At 47.5% G+C, this 22,864-nt stretch overlaps 1 long non-coding RNA gene across 1 annotated transcript in view, besides 1 other annotated feature; it reads right to left on the reverse strand.

The window, feature by feature from the left end:
• Window positions 1–149: 149 nt before the first annotated feature.
• Window positions 150–22,864, reverse strand: part of LOC107984696 (uncharacterized) — a 76,716-nt gene continuing 54,001 nt past the window's right edge. Inside the window, exons 2-3 of the long non-coding RNA XR_001750878.3 lie at window positions 5,438–5,494; window positions 150–995 (exon numbers count right to left, since the gene is read on the reverse strand). This is a non-coding gene — a long non-coding RNA (uncharacterized LOC107984696). The remainder of the gene's footprint in view (window positions 996–5,437; window positions 5,495–22,864) is intronic.
• Window positions 588–1,532: an enhancer, noted in NCBI's record as "VISTA enhancer hs622". NCBI's record gives its function as "enhancer in: forebrain[5/9]" and the evidence as "EXISTENCE:transgenic organism evidence [ECO:0001131][PMID:17130149]".

Below are 22,864 nucleotides of genomic sequence, written 5' to 3' on the forward strand. Positions count from 1 at the left end.
GCAGCCTTCGACTGTCCCAGACAGGACTATTTCCACAGCAGAATGAATGAGTACCTGCATTAAGCAGCATAAATAAAGATTACAAATAGTCTCACGTCAGCTCAGGTCAGGCTTTGCCACCACATGAGTCTGCTATGAAATTATCAAAGCGTTGACTTTTGGCACTTTCATGTTTCAGAATTGCAGAAGAATCCATGAGCAAACTGCCTCACAGAGAGGTGGAGTCACGTGCCCGAGGTCACATGACGGCTGTCGTGAACCTGGTTGCTTGGTGAAAGCCAGTGCTGTTCCCATTACTCACACCTGCCTCTCCTAACTGCCTCTTAAACCTGCCAATCCCCATGCTGGTGAGAGGAAGATGAGGATGCAGGTCCTTGGCCCTTGGCCACGGCCCACTTGCTCCCTCTGCCTCAGCCGGCTTCCCTCTGGGCCCCCCGATGTCATTGGTCATGGGCTTTTTCCTTCTCAGGCTGACCCAGTGTGTAAATCAGTCTTCCCATGTGGTCAATTCTCAAGACGATGATCAGCAAAGTTAGAGACCCAAGGATTTAACAAAAGAAAGAGAGGAAAAAGCCTCAGCTGGAAAAATGGTTTAGTGAGCTTTCCACACTGGTCTAGGGGCCCATGACATTTTTGCTCTGTCCTGATGGTGAGATTCCACTCTAAAACAAACCCAACAGGGTCAGGGCTGTTTACTCAAATATTTCCCCCCCAAAACCGAGTTGTGAAAACTGTCAACCTCACCAACGTTGGGGACACGGATTTGCCTCCAGCGTGAGAAGCGAGTCCCCTGCCTTTGCACTGGGGACCAATCAGAAGACAAGACAAGCCATGGGGTGCGGGCGCCCATGGTATCTGGCCATCTGGGGGCCCCCGCTTCTCTCGGCCGGCTGTGGAGGCAAGGGAGATTTTTTTTCCAGAGCTTGGTGGGGCTCCATATGGTCGAGATCAAAGGTGTTGCTGGGTGCATGGTTCTGCTTTATTTCCAAGCACTGCTGTTAATTAGAAAACAAGATCAGAGGCAGTATTAAAATCCAATTAAATTGATATGAACAGATTGCCAAGTGATGTTCACTAATGTATAATTGAGCACCATGCAAATTTCGGTGGCTGGCTTTTGTTTTTTTCCCCCACACTCTGGAATGAATGATGAGGCTATGAAGTTTTTCTTCATTGTAAAAAACAAACAAGTTAATGCATTGATCTAGGGGGTATTGCCCTGGTGATTGATGAAAATGAGAGAGAAATAGTAAAGTGTGACTTTTTGAAGGGAGGGAGTAAAGATTCTTCTACTCTTCCTCTTTTTTCTCTCCTTGGTTCCACACCCATTTCTTATGCACAGTGGCAGGCCTCGCTTTCTGTTGACATTCCATTGTTAATGATCCAGAGAAAGTTCCTCTGGATTTCAAGGATGGATTGAAAACAAATTTTGGAAGTTTGAAGACAAACATCACAGATAAAAAAGGATCTGTGTGCAGGTAGGTTTTGTTTTAGTATTAATGTTTTGTATATGCCTCCGTGTATTAAAAAGAGGGAATTTGCCTGATTTGAGCTTATGAGCAAACCCCCCAAAGGATGTAGACTCTGGGAGAAGATACCGGGAAGATGAGGAGAGGCCAATTTCACCAACAGAAGGGAGATGGCTGCCTGCCGAAAAGAAAGCGGTTAGCATGAACGTGCGTCAGGAGTTGCCTGTTATTGTTGCAAAATGAAATTGTTTGCTCACTGCAGATATAGCAGGTTTGTAAGCATGCTGTCAGTGCTAAGGTTTTTTTTTTTTTTAAGTACCACCAAAGACAACAGCGGATGGCAGTGTCTACATATTCGTTATGCGCTCATAGCATTTGGGTTTTTGTTTTAATTCCCTTTAAAAAGAAAGCAATCTAATCAGCTCACTCCCAGGATTACAGCCTGGGTGTCAGGCAGTGAGGAAGACTCAGAGATAAGAAAGACCCTGGCCTTGGCCTTCAGGCATCCAGAAAAGGGGCACAAAGTATAGATAGGCAAGCAGGATGAAGCCCAGGGAGAACGTACGGCTGCTTCCCAGCATGCATTCGCCTGCTGTCTCTTCCTATCAGAAGCCCTGATGGTGCTCGGGGAAACTGCCAGCTCACCATGGAATTCAGGAACTGGCAAGCCCCGTTCTGGGGGAGACCCTGATTGGTCTATGCCAGATGGCGTAACTCCATGTCTTGAGCCAGCAATGAGTTCTGGTGTGAACATGTGACTCACTTCTGGCCAATGAGATGTGGCATGAGGGGCCTCTCCCTGGTGCTTCTGGGAAAAGTCGTCCCAGATGATAAGAAGAGGCTCATGGGAAGCAAGAGTTGCTGCTGCCACCATTTTGCTACCAGCCCAAGGGTGAAGCTCACACATCAAGCAGGACCCAGAGAATCACAAAAAATCAGAACCAAGCACCCACCCAACCCCTGATATTCAGCACCTGAAACTCACATACCTCTGGACTTCTCTTTACATATGAGGGCCATTATGTATGCCTCACTGGGCCAGATTTTCTGTTCAATGTCACCAAAAACAACCCAACAGAGCCAGGATGAAACATCAGGGAAGACGGCACGTTTCATCCCCCTCGTGAGCGTAGGGGAAACTTCCTAAAGAAAGTGGCCTTGTGTGTCCTTGTTCACAGCAGCTGTGGAATACAAGCTTAGGTTTGGCTGTTTGGTTATTTAGCTGACTGGTTTTAGAGAAGCCCTTCCGCAGATGGCTGGAGGACAGAATATAGTTATTAGCAGCCCCTCTGCTCATTTTAACAAAAAGGGGAGAAGAGTGACATTCGGTTTTTGGAGAGGTTTTTTCAGTCTTTTTAAAAACCGCTTTATTGAGATATAATTCACATACCAATATACTGTACAATTCCTCCGTTTAATTCATTGGTTTTCAGTGTATTCACGGAATTTTACAACCATCGTCTTTATTCAAGAATTTTTAATATTAACTTGTATGTTACAACAGGAACTAGAAGAAATGTTTCTTTGGAACCCTTTTTAAGTGATCATTTAGAAATGGTTATACTTTAACATTTTATGGGTTTTTTTTGGTATATTTTATTTTCACGTAAGTTTCATATGATGCTGTTTTTATTCCCCAGGTAATCACTGAGTTTTCCTAGTCATTTTCCCAACTTCTATCATGATACAAAATACAGTTCCTGGTGAGAATAAATATTTAAGCATATAGTCCTTAGAAGAAAAATATTACTATAAACAAGAGATTAAATATTCATAAGAAAACTATGTGTTAGTACTTTATATTATTTAATTGAATATATTTATTATAGACCATTGTATTAGCATCGGCCAAAAAAATTATATACAAAGCAAGGGCCCTGTCTCGAGGCTTGAATAAGACAAAATGTAGGTGAGGTTACTCACAGTGGGATCTTTCCTGTAGGTGTCTAGATGATGTTATTAAATAGAAGGAACATTTAATTGATGAATGATCCAAGTAAACACCATCATATAGTGCTTGGGAGAAATTTAAATTTTTACCCCAAATGTTTTGTGAACTGTTAGGGTTTTTCCAGATTCTTTTAAACTACAACTCTGTCTATAATAAATATAGCTAACAGTAATTATTAATAGTTGAAAGGCAACTTCGTTTATTGAGAATAAATATAATAGTTGACTTTCTTTCAAAGATAAAGTATGGACATCGTATGTTAAAGGAAGGCAAAAGAGTTCAGTGGTCCAAATTTGGGCCAAATTTGTGCTTCCCAAATAGTTCCCTTTAAAAGCAGCTAGTACACACATAAGGTACCGATCTCTCTTTTTTTTTTTTTTTTTTTTTTTGAGACAGGTTCTCACTCTGCTGCCCAAGCTGGAGTGCAGTGGCATGATCTCGACTCACTGCAGCCTCCACCTCCCAGCTCAAGTGATCCTCCCACCTCAGCCCTCCATGTAGCTGAGGCCACAGGCGCTCACCACCACACCTGGCTGATTTTTGTATTTTTTAGTAGAGATGGGGTTTCGCCACGTGGCCCAGTCTGGTCTCAAATTCATGAGCTCAAGTGATCTGCCTGCCCCAGCCTGCCAAAGTGCTGAGATTACAGGCATGAGCCACCACACCTGGCCTGAAGTATCTCTCTTAATTCTCCCCATGAACCTCTGAGATAGGTTTTATTATTCCCATTTTGCAGGTGGGAAAATGAGACTTTAAAAATTTGGTAACTTTCTCTGTTACAATCTCCCTTTGAATCCTGCACATTTCCTTCATAGCCTTTACCACAGAGTAAATAAATATTTTTGTAGTAGCTTTGTTGATGTCTATCTCCCTAGCTCTAGCCTCCAGGAGGGAAGTGCACCCATCTGCTCACTGCCATACTAATGGCCCCAGGCAGGGCAGGAACTCTTCAAATGCTCTATGGATATGGCCAGCATCACTTAGCTAATGAGGGGGAGGGCTGCCCTCTGAACCCAATTCTGTCCATCTCCAGAAACCAAGCTCATAACCAATAGCCCACACTCCTTGCTAGCACAGCTATCTCCCCAGCACCAGGCCTGTGACCCAACACAAGGTAGAACTCACTGAATGTTTGAAGAATGAGTGCACATTACACAATCAAAGAGGCACAGATGAGGAAACATGCCCACCTGGCTTCCAAGTGTGGAGTAGAAAAGATAGGCTGAGGACTCTGGCCATCAGGATGTAAGATGCCTGAGTTCAGGTCTACCCTGCAGCTGATGAACTGTGTGACTTTGAGTGGAACACTGCACTTCTCTGGGCCTTAGTCCACCACAAGAATAATCACACCACATATATACAATTCCAAGGAAAATCCAACTTCCAAAAGGAAGAGATTCCTTCTCACCAATTCCCACCACCTGGTTATTCCTATGAAGCCTTGGTAGAGTAGGTTCAACTCTAATTCTGGACACTTTGTTATATGAGCTTCTGCAAACCCTCATCCTGCTAGAATATGGTGTAATACATCTGTGTCTCAATCCCAACAAAAGACTTGGTCAGCAGTGGCTGCATAATCTGTGGGGCACAGTGTAAAATGTAGAAGCAGAGGCACTTGCTCCAAAAGCAGGAAAAACGTGCCCTGCAAGGTACTGAAATGTACCCTCACTGTTCCTTCCTCTCTCTCCCTACTTGTCACGGTGTCTTTGTTTGCTATGTATTTGTCATTCTAAGTAAAGAAAAATTAAACTTAAATTATTAGCATGAAGTGTATCATACATCTTTATATCGTGCAATTCCAGTTTAAACACAAATATAAGAGCATTTAACTCATGCATAGAATAAACAAAATTATACAATTTGTACTTTGCAGCTTGTATATGCATGTTTATTTCATTCTTACCAGAAATATGGAAACGCTGCAGAAAATTAACTCCACTTTTTTATTTCACTTCTTCATACGTGCATATTCTGCCAACATTCTATGGAAGCTGAAAGTTTTCCAGGACATGCTCACCTTGTATTGGCTTTTAATCTTGCTGAACTTCTACACACCGGGGGGTCCACTAACATTCTGTCAAGAAGACATTGAGAAGGCCACATGTGAATGGGACAGCAGGGAGCAGGGACATGCACGTTGCACTCAAGGCACATGCTCCATTGTCCCATTGAACTTCACTTACAAAACCTAAGTTTGGGAATAAAATTAATACCATTTGACCCAGCAATCCCATTACTGGGTATATCCCCAAAGGAATATAAATCATTCTACTATAAAGATACATGCACGCGTGTGTTCACTGCAGCACTATTCACAATAGCAAAGACTTAATCAACCAAAATGCCCATCAATGATAGACTGGATAAAGAAAATGTAGCACATATACACCATGGAATGCTATATAGCTAGGAAAAGGAGCGAGATCATGTCCTTTGCAGGGACATGGATGAAGCTGGAAGCCATTATCCTCAGCAAACTAACACAGGAACAGAAAACCAAACACTGCATGTTCTCACTTATAAGTGGGAGCTGAACAATGACAACACATGGACACACGGAGAAGAACAACACACAATGGGGCCTGTTGTGGGAGGGTGGCGGGGGAGAACATTAGTGAAAAGAGCTAATGCATGCTGGGCTTAATACCTAGGTGATGGGTTGGTAGGTGCAGCAAACCACCATGGCACGTGTTTATCTATATAACAAACCTGCACATCCTGCACATGTACACCAGAACTTAATTTTTTTAGAAAAATTTTTTTAAAAAAAGAATTTCAAGACACAAAGATCAGAGCATTAAAGCAAGCATGGGGCCCTTTTGAGCACAAGACCTCGTGTGATTGCCCAGGTCGCATGCCTGTGAAGGGAGCCCTGGACTCTATGCCGTTGGCTCAGCCGTTTTTAATGGTCAGGCTGTCCAGCCTGAGACCTAGAACTCTCTAGAGCACCCAGAAGCCCAACACTCCAATGCCAAGAATGCCCATGGCTCGCGGCATAAAACTGGACCTTAACAATCATATTTCTTCCAGATGTTTGATTATTTCAAACACTAGAGCTAAATTATTTTGTCCCCAGCCTTATTCCAAATATATTCTAATTTGATTTAGTAAATACATTTAGTAAAATAAAAATAAAGAAATAGCCTAGGGTGAAGGGACCTTGCCATTATCAATACCACGTCCTCTTTCTCTTACCAGACAGTAAGATGGTATCTAAAGCCATTTTATTTTCAACAGAATACATCGCACGTCATTGAAAACAGATGGTGCCTAATAATTGCAGAATGACTAAATGAAACATGCAGGAGTCACTTTTTTTGACTAAACAACATGCCTTGTGATGGCCAGCTCATTTTTTAACTATTTAACTAGCAATACTTGAGAAAATGTATACAGTGTAGTTTGAGTTTTTATTAAACCTGCAAAGCCTTTTTATTTGCTGTCTCATCTGATGCAAAAAAATACGTTTCCAGTGTAAGCTATTTTAGCCCCATTTGGCATATGAAACCCTGGAAAGGAAAATGACTTGCCAATCATAACACAGAAGATACACGACACATTTCAAATTCGGTTCTTTCTGACTCCAGGACTTTCCAGGACATAAGCCTCAGAGTAATCACTTTTGGCTAGAGGAGTTCTTAAAAAGGGAGTAAAATTATCTGGAGAAAGCAAAAAAAGTGGGATTTTTCATAGAATGCAAATCAACAATTGCCTTTGGCTGGAGCCCCACGGATGAGTCGAAACTCCAGCGAAGTGTCTGGTGGGCCCCCAGTGAGTCTTGGCCAGCAGTCCAGCCCAACTCCTGAGTCAGGATGACTGACAGTTCCACCCCATAAAGTAGACCCATATTCGAATTACATCACAGTGCATTTTTCACATGCAGGAAAGAAACAATTGAAACCGACCACAGAAAATGGTTAGTGAGGCTTCCAAACCAGCCATCTAATAAATGCAGGTTTCCCTTGTTTATCAACTCTAATTACAAATTGGAAGCAAATCCAACATGGGTTGCTGTATTGTAATTGGTATATATGGAGGCTTTCGGACACAGGTTGGAGACCTTTCACAGTTCAATATCATGTATGTTGAGTGACTAAGGCCTGGGCCATCCAGACTGCAGGGAGGGTCCATGGTGAGGTTCTTCCAGACGCTTCCCGGCAGGCCATGGGCTGCAGACCTCACAAGGAGGCCGAGTGCCCCCTGCTCTCCTCTCTTCTCAAAGGCTTCCTTTGCTCAAGAACACTCATTCTTTAATCACTGCAAAACATCCAGCCATGTTCTGCGGGCACAAAGCTGTCTCCCTGAGTTCAGAGTCAAGGAGGAGATGCATGGGAGTGGGGCAGCAGACAGAGGGCAGGACAGGACGCCGAGGGAGCTCGGGGCCCAGAGGGTTCCCGGGGAGTGTGGGACTCCTGGGCCTTTATCCTCAGCCCCTCCAAGCCCTGTGTCCTGCAGTCCTTGCCTGTCAGGGAGGCCCAGCTCTTGGCCCACACTGGGAGGAACACACAAGAAGGAGCCGGGTTGGAAACAGGCCGGACACTGGCCTCAAGGGACTCGTGCCCAATCTCTGTTCCTGGACTCCTTGCTCAACCCAGAGAATATCCACCTGGAACCCAGAATTCCAATATCTGGTTTGTGATCCCCAAACAGGCCCCTGGCTCCAGGGTGTGGCCAGCCAAGATCAACAGAGAAAATGGCCTTAGCTCATCAGCTCGGCCCCTCCTTCTGAGGCATTAGAGAGCAGGCCGCCTGCTCATCCTGACGCTGTCTCCACTGCCCACGCCAGGAGCCAGTGATGGTCCTGCTCTGGAAGCCACCCACAGAGAGGCAGCTCGAGGGTACGGGAGGCTGACAGGTGCCCAGGTGTCGGACGTGACGGCCCAGACACCTGCCTGGCTATTACTGAGCCTCGGTTTCCATGAACTAGGGACACCAGCTTGGTGTTTTCCGGACATGATGACCACCGGGAGAGGAATCCCACTCAATCTGCTCAAACAGGGGACAGAGGGTGAGGGGATGAGGCAGGGGAGGGGCAACTGAAATCTCGGGGCAGGAGGACAACAAAATGGGGCTGACACTTGGGGCCAACCGTGGAGAACAGAAGTTTGTGTTTTTCTCTGGCTTTATCCCCCATATCTGACACACACATACACGCACACACACATCAACAGGCACACATGCACACACACATTCATATCCACGCATTTATGCACACATACACACATTCACACCATTGCATGTGCGTGCACACACACATTCACACCCACACAAATTCACCCACGCACACACACATTCACACATGCATACACATTCACACACATGCACATGCACACACACATTCACACCCACACAAATTCACACATGCACGCACACACATTCACACACGCACACACATTCACACATGCACATTCATACACACACACACATTCACACACACACAACCCGTTTCTCTGGGGTCTCCTGCCCTCCTGCCTCTGCCTCTCCCCTCTCTCTTCTCCACAGATTGGCTTCACCTGCTGGGGCACAGGCCACCAGAGGCAGTCGCCATGGCTGTCAACCCCTCACAGGTCAAGCCCACAGAGCCACCCAATTCAGCCTCCCTGGGTTCTAATTCCAAGAGAAGTTTCCAAGGAGGAAAAACAAAATTTACCATTAGGTGAGGTGTCCACCCTAAGCTGGTCCCGCCAGCTGCAGCCACAGCCACGTGGCCATATGTCCAAAGGGCTGCCCCTTGGGCTCTGTGGGCTGGTCAGCAGGTCCCTAAGGTGGAGCATGGGTGGGCTGCCGTGTCTGACACATCCCAAGCTTCCTCAAAGGGCTAGTTGGGGCGACAGTGTTTGCTCGTAACCCTGGGAACTGAGCTATAGGCCCCCCTGAGCTGCCGAGGACAAGAGCATGGGGTCTTTTCACTGCAGAGCACTGCTGCCCACTCTCCTGCCTTTGCTCTTCCGTCTCATTCCATTTTATGGTCAAGAAAAACTGAAGCCAGCTGACCTGCCCAAGGTCATCCAGCCAATAAGAAAGTGACCTCAGATTTAAACTAAGACCATCTTATGCTGAACTTAGTTCCTTTCCCACCCCATCACAATTTCCTCTGGGCTTGTTTCTACAGCCCCGTCCTATCACCAGGACACTTTTCAGGACCTCACTGGAGCGCCCTGCAGCCTTGTGAGTCAGGACGTGGTCTTCCCACCTTCCAGATAAGCAAACTATGCCAGGGAGAGATAACCTGGCTTGCCCGAGGTCACATAGCTGTGAAGTGGTAGCACCAGGCTTCAAACTCATGTCTGTCTGGCTCCAAAGGATTTTTTTTTTCCAACATCACATCAGGTCCATAGAGATATCTTAGAACCACTAAATTGTAAAATTTTGTGGGCTGAGAAATCAATGACCTATTTTTCCACAGATCCATTTAATACCGCATCACTGGGTGTCATGAGACCTGGTGGCATTGAGGTGAGGATAATTGCAATGATGTGTCCGGTGCTTTACAGGTGGCAACTTGCTTTCTCATGGAATATCTTGGAAGTCATCTAATCATTCCCTCTACCTGATTTACAAATACCCTACCAATGTGTGGTGTAAGGTACCAATATGGTTTGGCTCTGTGTCCCCACCCAAATCTCATCTCAGATTATAATCCCTGTAATCCCTACATGTCAAGGGAGAGATCAGGTGGGAGGTGGCTGGATCATGGGAGCAGTTTCCCCCATGCTGTTCTCCTGATAATGAGGGAGTTCTCATGAGATCTGATGGTTTTATAAGCATCTAGCATTTTCCCAGCCTCACTCTTCTCTCTCCCGCCACCATGTGAAAAAGGTCTTTGCTTCCCCCTTGCCTTCCACCATGATTGCAAGTTTCCTGAGGCCTCCCCAGCCATGTGGAACTGCGAGTCAATTAAACCTCTTTCCTTTATAAATTATCCATTCTCGGGTATTTCTTTATAGCAGTGTGAGGATAGGCTAGTACAGGTACTCACATCACAGTTGAGGGAGAAAGAGAGCATTCGTTCCACCCTAGCTCTGGCAGGCATTGTGAGAGCAGAAGCCTGTTTCATTCTCCCAACAGCCCAGTGAGGTCTATGATCTTAGCTCTATTTTATGGATGAAGAACTGGGGCTCAAAGAAGCAAAGACGCCTGAGCTGGAGAAGGTTTATGCAAAAGGCCATGAGGAGTGAAAGGATGCTGTGTTCGTCTGTCCTTGTGCAGTTTCACTTTGTTCAATCCAGGGTTTACCTCCCTTGACTGACTACAGGGCATCAGCCTAGTAGCATCTGAGGAACGCGCTTGCTGAAGCCTCATTCTGTGGCATACACCCTGGAGCCGACTGTGTATTTTTATATGTAACCACAGTCATGGTTCCTGCTTTGAAGTGGAGATCTATGCATGCCTCTCCTCGCCCTCCCCAGACAGGGGCAAGCCTTGCTGCAGGCTGTACAGGAAGCATAACAGCTTCTGCTTCTGGGGAGGCCTCAGGGAGCTCCCAATCATGGCAGAAGGCAAAGGGGTAGCAAGCACTTCACATGGCCAGAGCAGGAGGAGGGCGGGGGAGGTGTTACACACTTTTTTAAACAACTACATCTCATGAGAACTCTATCATAAGAATAGCACCAAAGGGACAGTGCTAAGCTATTCATGAGAAATCATTCCCGTGATCCAGTCCCCTCCCACCAGGCCCCATCTCCAACACTGGGGATTACAACTGAACGTGAGATTTGGGCAGGGACACAGATCCAAACCATATCAGGTGCCTAGGGCACCTCCACACCCTTCAATTACTTTCTTCTGCCATTGCTAAAATATATTTGCCTGTCCTCTCCTTTGGCAGAAAAGAGGGGCCTGTCAAGCTTACAGTGTCACTGAGTACCAAGGCAAAAATGTCCCCAGCACCAAAGAAAGCACACCTTCCCACATTGAAAAGGCTGTGTTTGCCATCAGGATGGAGGTTTTGCCCCTTTATGTATTCCAGAACTTAGGAAAAATTGAAGGGTCGAGGTTAGAGGGGCCTGGGAAGTAAGATAAAAGCAGGGAAGATCACCCCAAATGGGATCCAAAGAAAATGGACCATTGGCTGCAATGAATCCTGAGAAGGCTCAGCTCTGGAACAGTAGTTGAGGCTTAAGAGAAAAATAGAAACAGAAAAGAGAGGCATTGTGGCCAGCTGAGCTTGAACAACCGCAGCAATCACAGAGACTGCCTGTCATCAGGGCACTCTCCCACACTAGCATTGCAGGCCCATTTCAGCCCCTTTCTCTGCCTGGCATCCAGCACCTTGCTGCTGAGCTCGGCTTTAAGAAGCTGCCAATGTGTTGGTTCTGTCCTTAGAAATCCTTTTGATCTTGATCTTGAGAACTTTCATCATTCACTAAAATGAGAGGGAAGTGGAGGACACATGGGGGCCACCCAAGTAGACCTGGGGGAGAGGGGTCTCTGCATTGGTGGGGAGAGAGCTGCCAGGGTGAGTCTTCATGCAGGAAGCACTGGGTCCCCTCCAGGAGCTCCAGCAAGTTGGAATAATAACAGCATGGCTGGGCCCCAGCCAGAAGGCAGAGGAGCAGGGAGAGCGCCCCTCTGCACATGGGTGAGGCAGCCCTGGCTTCAGAAGAGGCCATCTACCCCAGAGGGCTCCAGGAAGTCCAGCTGGCAGCAAGGCGCCACATGCACTTCGTCTGGGAGGGCAAGGAGAGGCATGAATTGATCTTCACCTCGAAGCAGTGACCGTGACTGTGGTTACATATAAGGATACACAGTCGGCTCCAGGGTGTACGCCACAGAATGAGGCTTCGGCAAGCGTGTTCCTCAGATGCTGCTAGGCTGATGCCCCATAGTCAGTCAAGGGAGGTAAACCCTGGAGTCAACAAAGTGAAACACATTTCTTGGCTGCAGGACTTCTCAGAGCCTTTACTATGTGAATTTCCACTGTGACTCTCCAAGAGGGGATACAAAATACAAGGTTTCCCAGACTTACTTGGTCATAGAATTTTCTCTCCAGATATTCATGTTCCACTTTGGGAAATGCCATGGGTCAATGATGTGGAGGCCTGAGACCCAACATTGGACAGCACAGTGCCTAGGCAGGGAGCCCACAAAGACTTCTCAGGTGTAGCCAGGACACCTCTACTCTGGGGATCTCGAGCCAACATAGGTGGTGGTCAGGAGAAAGAATGGATGGAAGGTCCCATTGTTGTGCCTGATGCAGGTACTCACTCTGCAGTCTCAGCCCCTCACATGCCCCTCTCACCCCCGAGGGTGGTCCTGCAAGTGAAGCACACACAGACCCCCTTCCTTCAGCCCTGTGATTTGAGTGCGGCTCTGGTGGTCGCCTCCATGCGCTTTGTCAATACCCCACCACCAGTACCCACAGTGGGGTCTCACTGCTCCTCTGAAGCCACAGAAGACTGCGTTGCCCAAGAGCAGGTGCAACCCGGAGCATGGGATGTGGCATTCCCCAAAACAGTAATCACCCAAGAGATCGGGAGCCCCTGCCTCCCATCCTTCAAGGGAACACCCAAAGGCCTGCCCTGCACACTTCATCGGAATCCCCAGAGACCTGGAGCCCCGGCTGCCTGCAGTGGTGACCAGCGGGGCAACTCCTTTTTATCAGCTTCTCCCCTTCCCTACCTCACTTGCCCAACTCCCTCCCAAACAAGCTGTCTGCACCTGAGTCCTTGCCCTGGTCTCTGCTTTCAGGAGAACCCAAACAAAGACCATAAGTGGGTGCTATGTTACAGCCTCAAAGCGTCAGCTAAGCAGACTGGCCTGAAATGGAACAGCCACCCTGGGAGGCAGTGAGCTCCAGTCCCTAAAAACACAGAGGAAGACGCAGGTCCAATACCAGGCCTGTCAACAAACAGCCTGTTGTTGTAAGTGGGAACCCAGCCATGGGTTAGGAATTTGGAACTAGTGACATCAAAATGTCTGTCCATGTCGGTGGCTGTGCCCTCCCTAAGGACAAAATTATTGTATTTTCTTTCTCCTGTGTGTTCATGGTCAGTGTCCAGGTTCTAGATCCTGCCCAAGAGGCTGGAGCCAGCCCATCAGGAGCAGGGAGGGCACAGACCAGGAGCCTGGGATCAGCCCCAAGGATCCGGTGGCGGTCTCCATGATGACTGACCTAGAGGTATGCTCAGCCAGAGTGGGACTAGCAATGGAGCCGGGGAGGCAGCAATGGCCCTGACTGGGAGGCAGAGCCGAGCACAGGGCACATGGTCACTGCCAAGACAGCGGGCATGGCCGAGGTGAGGGCTCAGAGCCATGGCTGGGCCAGGCAGAGCGGGCTGGAAGCTGGAGTAGGTGGCCAGCGCCGGGTGGCAAGTGCAGCCTGCAGGCTTCTGGGAGCAGCACAGGGCGAGGACACCTGCCGGAGCCAGTGGGTGCTATCTGGGGATGAAAAACAGACGCAGGCCACAAATAAGCAACTCCCCAAACAGAAAAAATACACAAGTTCCAAGCTTGTAAAAAACTCTCCAACTTCCCCATCAATCAAATAAATGCAAACTAAAGCGATCCTGCTCTCTTTGTTTTCCTTGTGAACTTAGCAAAGTTATTTTAAAAAGGTAAAATTTTTAAAAACGTTATTTATTGCACTGGCCAAGGAGCAAAAAAAAATGGGGGTGTCCAAAATGTTGATGAAAGCGTAACTTGGTCCTCCCTTTCTGGAATCAATTCAGCAATATGTGTCAACAGACCAAGAGGGTACATGCCCCTCTCAAGAAATATATCTGAAGTAATTGGCAAAATAGAAAAAGGTTTATCTACATGAATGCTCACTGCAGTATTACTAATTATAGCAAAAATGAAAAATATAAAAAAATACTGGCCGGGTGTGGTGGCTCACGCCTGTAATCCCAGCACTTTCAGAGGCCAAAGCGGGCGGATCACAAGGGTCAGGAGATCGAGACCATCCTGGCTAACACAGTGAAACCCCATCTCTACTAAAAATACAAAAAATTAGCCAGGCGTGGTGGTGGGCACCTGTAGTCGCAGCTACTCAGGAGGCTGAGGCAGGAGAATGGCGTAAACCCAGGAGGCGGAGCTTGCAGTGAGCTGAGATCGCACCACTGCACTTCAGCCTGGCGGACAGAGCGAGACTCCATCTCAAAAAAAAAAAAAAAACTGAAATAAACAAAAGGTCAAATAACTGGAAATCAGATATAAGAAATACATGGTATTCTTATACAAAAGAACATTTCAGAAAACAATGTAGAAGACATGTGATTTGGAAATACGTTTATGATGTAGGGTCCAGTGGAGAAGGCAGGAAATAAACTTGTTATATGATTCATTTCATAAACAAGACACAAACATGAAATGTGTCACTTCACTTAAAAAGCTGTGTTCCCTGTGGTCTAGTGTCAGAGCTATGTCCTATTTAGAGGGGCCAGCTCAGGTCCCCCCATCCCCTCACTCGAGATCTGAGAATGACCTTCACCATCCATGACACCCACTAATCCTGAATGTGCGTGTTTGGTTTCACTTCTTACTCACGTGCTAGCTTGAGGGTAAGCCTCAGTTTCCTCATCTATAAAATGGGGGCGACACTATCTGTTTCATGGGAGACTTCCTGAAAGCTGTGGCACATGGCCTGGATCATGGTCATCACTGAAGTTGTATTAGTGCCTCCTGTCCCCTCTTGGTCAGTGCCTATGCCTGGAGAGCCAAACCAAACCACATAGAAAGCAAAAGCAATGGGCGGAGTGCTGGCTAAACTCAGATGCTCCCAGGGCCTAGGGAAGGCCCCACATCACAGCAGGTGCTCCACACCAGTGAGTCACATTTGTAGCTTGTCGGGCCTGGGGGACCTCAGAGGGGATGGGGTCCACCTGACAGCTGGCCTTCCATTCATCACTCCACCGCCATGCAAGTGACTGAGAGACTTGTACACACATTTGTAACACCAAAAAGAAAAAAATATAAAGGCAATCTGAATTCATCAATATGAGAATACAAAGAGTATAATTCATACAATGGATATAATTCATGTAATGGGATACGACACAGCGACTACAGACTCATCCAGCCGCGGAGATGAATCCCAGAGGCACATGCTGAGGGCAAACAGTGGTGCAAAAGAAAGCACATAACATGGCTCCCTCTACATGAGTCTCGACGGGGAAAAGATATTTTGGGTGGCACAAAACAGTAGTCACCTCTTAGCTGGGGCTGGGAGGGAGGGGATAGACCAATAAGGGACACAAAGGAACTGTATGGGCATAGTAATGCTCCATAGCTTAGAGTGATGTTTGAAGAAACGTATACATTTGTCAAAATTCATCTATCTGGACCCTTAAGAGCTTGAGGCTCTGACATATGTCACAAGTAGACCTCAATTTAAAAATAGCATCTGCACGGACACGCAGTGAGCACCTCACATACTTGGTCACCATTACGATGAGTGTGCCAACCGCATGGACTCCCAGGATGTCGGAGTTCGCAGGACCCTTGGAAATCCCTCCCCCAGGCACTCTTGGTCATTTTCCTGCCATGGAATCTTCCGACCAATGAGTGAAGCCTGGGACCTTTTCTCAGAATAAAGTTTTGCCTGCATAAAATAAAATACCATAAACTATATATGACGACAAAGAAAACCAATTATTTTGAAAGTTATCACATATTAAAAACAGATTTGTGACCTAGAAATGCATGTGCTTCTTTATTAACGCATTAAATAACAAGCCCACCAGAGGGTCTAATAACTATCAATCATTTCAAAGTATTGGGGAGTGGAAATGGCATTTTGAATTTTCTACAGCCACGGCCATGGAAAAGGAAAATATCTGAGATTCCAATTAGTACCCGAATCACAGACACTGTGCATACGATGCCTACCTAGTCCTGCACACTCTACAAACTGAGGGTAGAGAAAACAAAGCTGCAGTTTCATTTCCCCAGCCAGGTTCACAGACCTGTCCACAGACCCTTTGTCTCCTTGTAAGACCTCCGCCTTAGTCCAGCTATCTCTAGCTGCAGAGGAGGAAATGGAAACCAAGAGGAGAGTTGTTATTCCAAAGCTGTAGGAAGCCTGAACTCAGACCCTGGGTCCTGCCCCCTCAGGGCAGCCTCTGTCCTACAGAGATAAAACACATAAAGCATTTAGCACAGAGCCTAGCATGGGGGAGCCTCAGCACTAAGACATGGCTGACTATGATCCCAAGCGCTCGGGCAGGCAAAGGCAGGGATTTGTGTTCACACACACACACACACACACGTGAGTACACATGTACACACACACAGGTCCTGCCTGGGGGAGTGCCCCTGGATCCCACAACCCCGGTTGGACCCCAGCCCAGAATGTGGGCAACCCCCGCCCAGCCATGGTGAGCAGGCCCGCGTCCACCCCAGGCTGGCAGGCTGGCAGTCAGCGGACGCCCACCGCGCACCGGGCCTCTGCCCACATTAACTCCCTGCTGGGATAATTCTTCTCCAGCCCTTTTTTTCCAGCCACCAAGTGGGCCTGCCACCACACTGCTGTTTTTCATCTTGTTAATTGAGTCATTTATTTCGTTAAAAGGTGAAACTTTATCAGGGCTTACGTGCCAAGTGTGAGAAGGTGTATTTAATGATACATCAAATGGCCGCTGCTTCAGGTGCCTCAGTGTTTAGAGATGGTGCAGCTGGGGGGTGGAGGGGCATAGGACAGAGCCCAGGCTGTGCAATTTCAATTATTCTGATTGAAAGAAATAGGCCCAAGTTCATTTCCAGGCAATGTCTGCATCAAGGTGCACACTGCAACCTGTGCCCCCATCCAGAAAAACTCCCGATGTGATGAGCATCGGAGCTCAGGGGTGGGAACTGCATCCTATCCATTCCTGTCCCCAGGACTTCCTTGTGGCTCTGCCCACACTGTCTTATGAAACAAGGGCATCTCTTCTTTTTTTTTTTTTTTTTTTTTTGAGATGGAGTCTCACTCTTGTTGCCCAGGCTGGAGTGCAGTGCTACAATCTTGGCTCACTGCAACTTCATCCTCCCGGGTTCAAGCAATTCTCCTGCCTCAGCCTCCCCAGTAGCTGGGACTGCAGGCACCCGCCACCACGCCCAGCTAATTTTTTGTATTTTTAGTAGAGACAGGGTTTCACCATGTTGGCCAGGCTGGTCTCGAACTCCTGATCTCGTGATCCACCCACCTTGGCCTCCCAAAGTGCTGGGATTACAGGCGTGAGCCACCGTGCAGGGCATCTCCTTTTGTTCTGGGCTCCCTGGGGCCCCACCTCCAAATGTTCCAGGCCTCTCAGAGGAGGGTACAGAAGATCAGCTGGCCCCACCCACTCCCGCTGGGCCCACCCCCTGCCCTCCCCACAACACACCACCCCATCTCACCCCTTCACTTGCTCATTCACCACCACCACTCCATTCTGATGCCACCAGAGGACCTCCCAAAGTCCAGAGTTCAGCAGGCCCTTCCCCTGCCAAGACCTTCAGTGCTCTGGCCTGCCCTGGTCCTTTCAGATAAGGTCCAAGTGCCCTGAACAAGGGTCCAAGGCCTTCGTGGCCTGGCCCCAGTGGCCCTCCGGACCTCCCCCTCCGCCCAAACTCCATGCTGTCCTAGAAGTCGGTGCGTTGAAATAAGCCTCTACTCAAGATCATCTTCTTTCCCCTTCTCCTAATTTGGTGTATCTGAGCCCACTAGAATCGCTCATGAAGCTTTTTAAGAATGCCAGCGCCCAGATCCCACCCAAGACCAACTGAATCAGAACCTCAAGGCCCAGCACAGAATACCAGGTGATTCCATGCACAGCCAGAGCTGAGAACCAGGGTTTCACATCCGACTTGCCCTTCGAGGCCAAGCAGGCTCATCACCTCCTCCAGGAAGCCTTCCTGGTCTCTGTCTCCAAGTCTCTCACCACCCAAGGGTAAATGGGGACCCTTCCTCTGGGTTCCCTCTCTGAAAGCAGGTGTTGTAATAATCAGGTTCTCCCTGTATGGGGTGCTCCTGAGGGTCTAGTGGCTGGACCAGTAGGACGAAGCCCAGAGCCTGCCACAGAAGGTCTTCAGGGGTGTCCAGTGGGGTCTGTGTGGTGTGGATAAGCCCCCTACACACCACGATGTGCCATCAAGGGGAGCTGCGATCACAGATGCCCAAACAGTGGATCGGGGGCACAGGGTCTGCTCTGGTCCTACTCAAGCATCTGGAGCAAGTGTCCGGGACAGGAGCAAGGGACTGCAGGAATCTGGAGACTCCTAGCCAGCAAGGGCAACAGGGAATCTTCCAGTCCAATGACAGGAAGCAGCAAAAAGTAGTTGGAAGAGCCAGGACCCCGGAGTTCCACCCAGCCGTGCCACTTACCAGCTGGGTTACCCTGGCTGACTAACTCCGCCTTGCTGAGCCTGTTTCCTCATCTGGGAGGTGGGGTGGTTGTCCTCCACCTCCAGGGATTTGGGGAAGACTTCACCACAAGACCTATGTGAAGTGCCAGGCACAGTGCCTGCATGTCGTAGCTTCAGCGATGATGATGTCCCCGTGAATCCTGTCTTCTTTCACTGGGCTAGCTTTTCCTCTCTTCTTTAGAGTGCCCTTATAGAAGCTCAGACCGCTGGTGGTCTGCAGGCGGGTGCCATGCATCTGCTGCTCTTTCCTTTGCACGTTCAGGAGACTCCCATGGGGAGTGAGGTCAGCCTGTTCCCCTTTCGTTCACTTCGACTTGATGGTTTTCTCAAAAACACAATGGAACTGCTGGGCTGGAGATGTTCAGTTGGTCAGAAGGCTGTAGGCTGCTCAGGACCCACAGTATAATGGTGGCCTTGAAGGTTTATATTTTCTTAGATCATTAAGATGTTAGATGGCCTCATTTCTCAGGTGTGTTTCTAGCTCAGGTGTGTTTTACTCTGGGCAAACACACTTCCATTCCAGCCTGCATTTATTAACCACCAGTTGTATGCAAGGGCCATTGCTAGGGGACCAGGAGGCCAAAGGAGCACATATATTTTGGTGGTTGTGCATTGGCAGTCTGTCTCCTCATTGGGAACATTGGTACGCCATGGGGGTGGGGTCACCAGATGTGTTTGCACCCTGTCCCCAGGACACGGGGAACATGCAGTCACCAGGGCTCAAGATGCTGCTATGGAGCAGATGAGGCTAAACAGAAAACAGTACACATTTCCTGGGTTTCAGTGAGAAACTAAAATGCTCATTCACAAAATCTCCTTCCACAATAAAAAGCCAAAGCTCAAAGACACATGTGTTTTTAAGGAGCGCTCAGCCTTCTCCCAAACATCAGTCATAAGGACAGCCACACCCCTGTTTCTTACCACTGTGTCTTGGTGATTTCTGAAATGTTTGTGGACAGTGAGGGCTTTCCTTTCCAAGGGACACCTGGACCTGATCCCAGGAAAGACTGCGAGCAGGACTGACCACAGGAAAAAAATTAACCTGAATCCATACCTCACACCATATACACAAATCAACTCAAAACGGATCATGGACTTACATGTAAAACCTAAAATTACAAATTTTCTAGGAGAAAATGTAGGAAACAAAGTCACTATGGCCTCATTTTTCTGCCTCTGGGCATTTTCTCCGGCCATTCTCTCTACCTGGATTAATCTCTCCTTAAACTTTATGCATCAAGGTGTTACATGAATAATTTTTCTTTCAAATCTCTAATTTTTCAAGATCCATGTCAAATATGATCTTTTCCACCGTCTCTGAACATTTCAGGTAGAATTTCTCTCTCCTGCTTCAAAATTTCTGAATCTGTTCTAGTTTTTCTGTATTTCTCATTCACTTTCTAGAATTTGTGGTATGGTATGAATATGTATGTCCTAATTTTCCTGTAAGACAGGGAGCTCCTGGAAGGCAGAGAGCAGATCTAATTCATACTGCAATTTCTCGCAGTGCCTAACAAGGCATTGGACACAGAGGAGCATTTCCTGTGCTAACCTTTAGGAAGACTTACCATATGCCAGGGGAGTGATGGAAGTGGAAGCATGGAACCCACCCATGTGTACTGCTGCTGAGATTTAAAGAGCTAGAAGCACACCTGAGAAATGAGGCCATCTAACACCTTAACGATCTAAGAAAATATAAATCTTTAAGACCACCGTTATATTGTGGGTCCTGAGCAGCATACATTTGGGTAGTTCAACATATTTAGCCACACATCCAGTTTAGTGGGCCAATCAGTGCACACATGTAATGGGATTGTTTGATCACTCAAAAATTGCATTGGTCATTTTTATAATTATTCCTTATTTTTTTAATTCTGCCTCTATTTATTGCCATTATATCACTGAAACAGGAGCTTGGCATCAGTTCTAACACTGCTTGACAAAAAAGTAATGTTTTAACATAAATCTACATCCAGGGAGGTAAGAAAACTGGCTTGCAGGACCTGGAAGAATTTTCTGGTGTAGAGTAGCCCCCAGGGAGGTGAATTCAACCATTCCCAACAAGATCTAGGGAATCAGAGGGGAGGAAGGGCCTAGAACTGGTATCCACTGATTTCCCCATTCAATAAATATTTGAATGTGCCAGGCTCTGAGGTGGGTGCTGGAAATGCTGCCAGCAGCACCACCCATCCTCTCCCTCGAGGAAATTTCAGTGCAACAAATATTTGAAAACCACAGTAAGCCCAGGATGCCCTGACCACACAAAGGAAGGCACTTGTATTAGTTCATTCTCATACTTCTATAAAGAGCTATCTGAAACTGGGAAATTTATAAAGAAAAGAGGTTTAATTGGCTCACAGTTCCTCAGACTGTGCAGGAAGCATGGCTAGGAGGCCTCAGGAAATTTACGATCATGGCAGAAGGTGAAGGGGAAGCAGGCATGTCCTACATGGCTGGAGCAGGAAGAAGAGAGCCAAGAGGGAGGGGCCACACAATTTTAAACAACCAGATCTCATGAGAACTCACACACTATCACAAGAATAGCAAAGGGGAAGTCCACCCCCATGATCCAGTCACCTCCAACCAGGCCCCTTCTCCAACAATGGGGATTACAGTTCCACATGAGATTTGAGCAGGGACACAAATCCAAACCATACCAGCACCTAACTTAGGCATATAAAGAGGGAAGACTTCCTGAAAGAGGAGGCAACAAGTCTATAATCCAAGGAAGCCTATGATCCAATCAGACACAGGGAGAAATGTGCAGATCTTTCTGGGCAAAAGGCCACCTGCAGGAAAGCAGAAAGCCACTTTGGGCTCTTGAGAGAAGGACAGGGTCACAGCAACCAAGGATTGAATGAGCTACAAGTGGGAGCCGTCTGGAGCCAGAGGGCAATCAAATCAGTTCACAAAGGGCAAAGTGCAAAGGGCAAAGGGCCTAGGGTGTGGGGCTCAGCATTTGGGCTTTACTTCAAAGGCAGCAGGGACTCTGAGAAGTCAGAATACACAAGAGAGTACCTCTGATGGGCTGCCCTGAGTGGGAGGAGCTAAGATCCCGTTTTCAGGATAGGGGAGGCTTATAAATGGATGGTGTGTGCAGGAGAGGTTCCCAGACAATAGTCAAATCCTCAGAAAACCAAATGTGAAATGCAAACTCAGATCAATGCCAGAAATACTAGTCAGGGGTTCTATGAGGACCTCAGGGGGTCAGGGAAATCTTCCCAGCTGCCCAAAGCAGTGGCATTTGGGCAGGGACCAAAGAGATGAGTGAAATACCTGAGAAATAAGCCTCCAGCCACAGGGAACAACATGTGCTAAGGTACTGGGTCGGGGGGCGGGGCCGCAGCTCTGGCCTCTGCTGGCCTCTCTGGGGTCGCCTTCTGCAAGCCCCATGACACCGCATGCCCATCTCCTTGCTGGTATTTCTCATTCCTGAAAAAATGTATATATTTGGTTTTCCCACTATATCACAAGCTGTTTGAGTGCAGGGTCTAAGGGTGCTTTGGGTTTTTTATTTTGCGTGTTTGTTTGTCTGTTTTTATCTCTGGTTTCCTTCCACTACCTGGCATGTGGTAGGTACTCAGTGAGTGGGGATTCTCATATTAATAAATTAATCTGGGGTTCCTCAGCCTTGACACTGTTGACGTTTGGGGCCGGATGCTCCCTTGTTGTGGGGACTGTCCTGTACATGGTAGAATGTTTAGCAAAATCCCCTGTTTTACCCACTAGATGTTAGCAGTGCACCCATGCACACACACACTCACACACACCAGCGTGACAGCCAAAAATGTCTCTGGATATTACCAGGTGTCCCCTGAGAAGGAAAAATGCTTGCAGTTGTGAACCACTGGATCAGTCCAACCCAAGCTTTGGCTTTTCCAGGCAAGGAAACTTAGGAACAGAGATGCTCTGATGGCCAGGCGTTTTCTCCTTTCTCCCTAGAGGACTTGAAGAGACAAGTAAACGGTTGGGAGAGAAGTGAAAGTAAAGCAAGAAGGAGAGGAAATGGGCCTCTAAGAACATGGAGACATTCTTGTCTTAACTCTTTTGCCAACATCAACTATTTAACCACCGGAGTTGATTCTCATCTTGTAAATAAAAGGGAAGTGTTCACCCAATA

This window comes from Homo sapiens, chromosome 14, assembly GCF_000001405.40.
Source record: "Homo sapiens chromosome 14, GRCh38.p14 Primary Assembly".
In the NCBI taxonomy this organism is placed as follows: domain Eukaryota; kingdom Metazoa; phylum Chordata; class Mammalia; order Primates; family Hominidae; genus Homo; species Homo sapiens.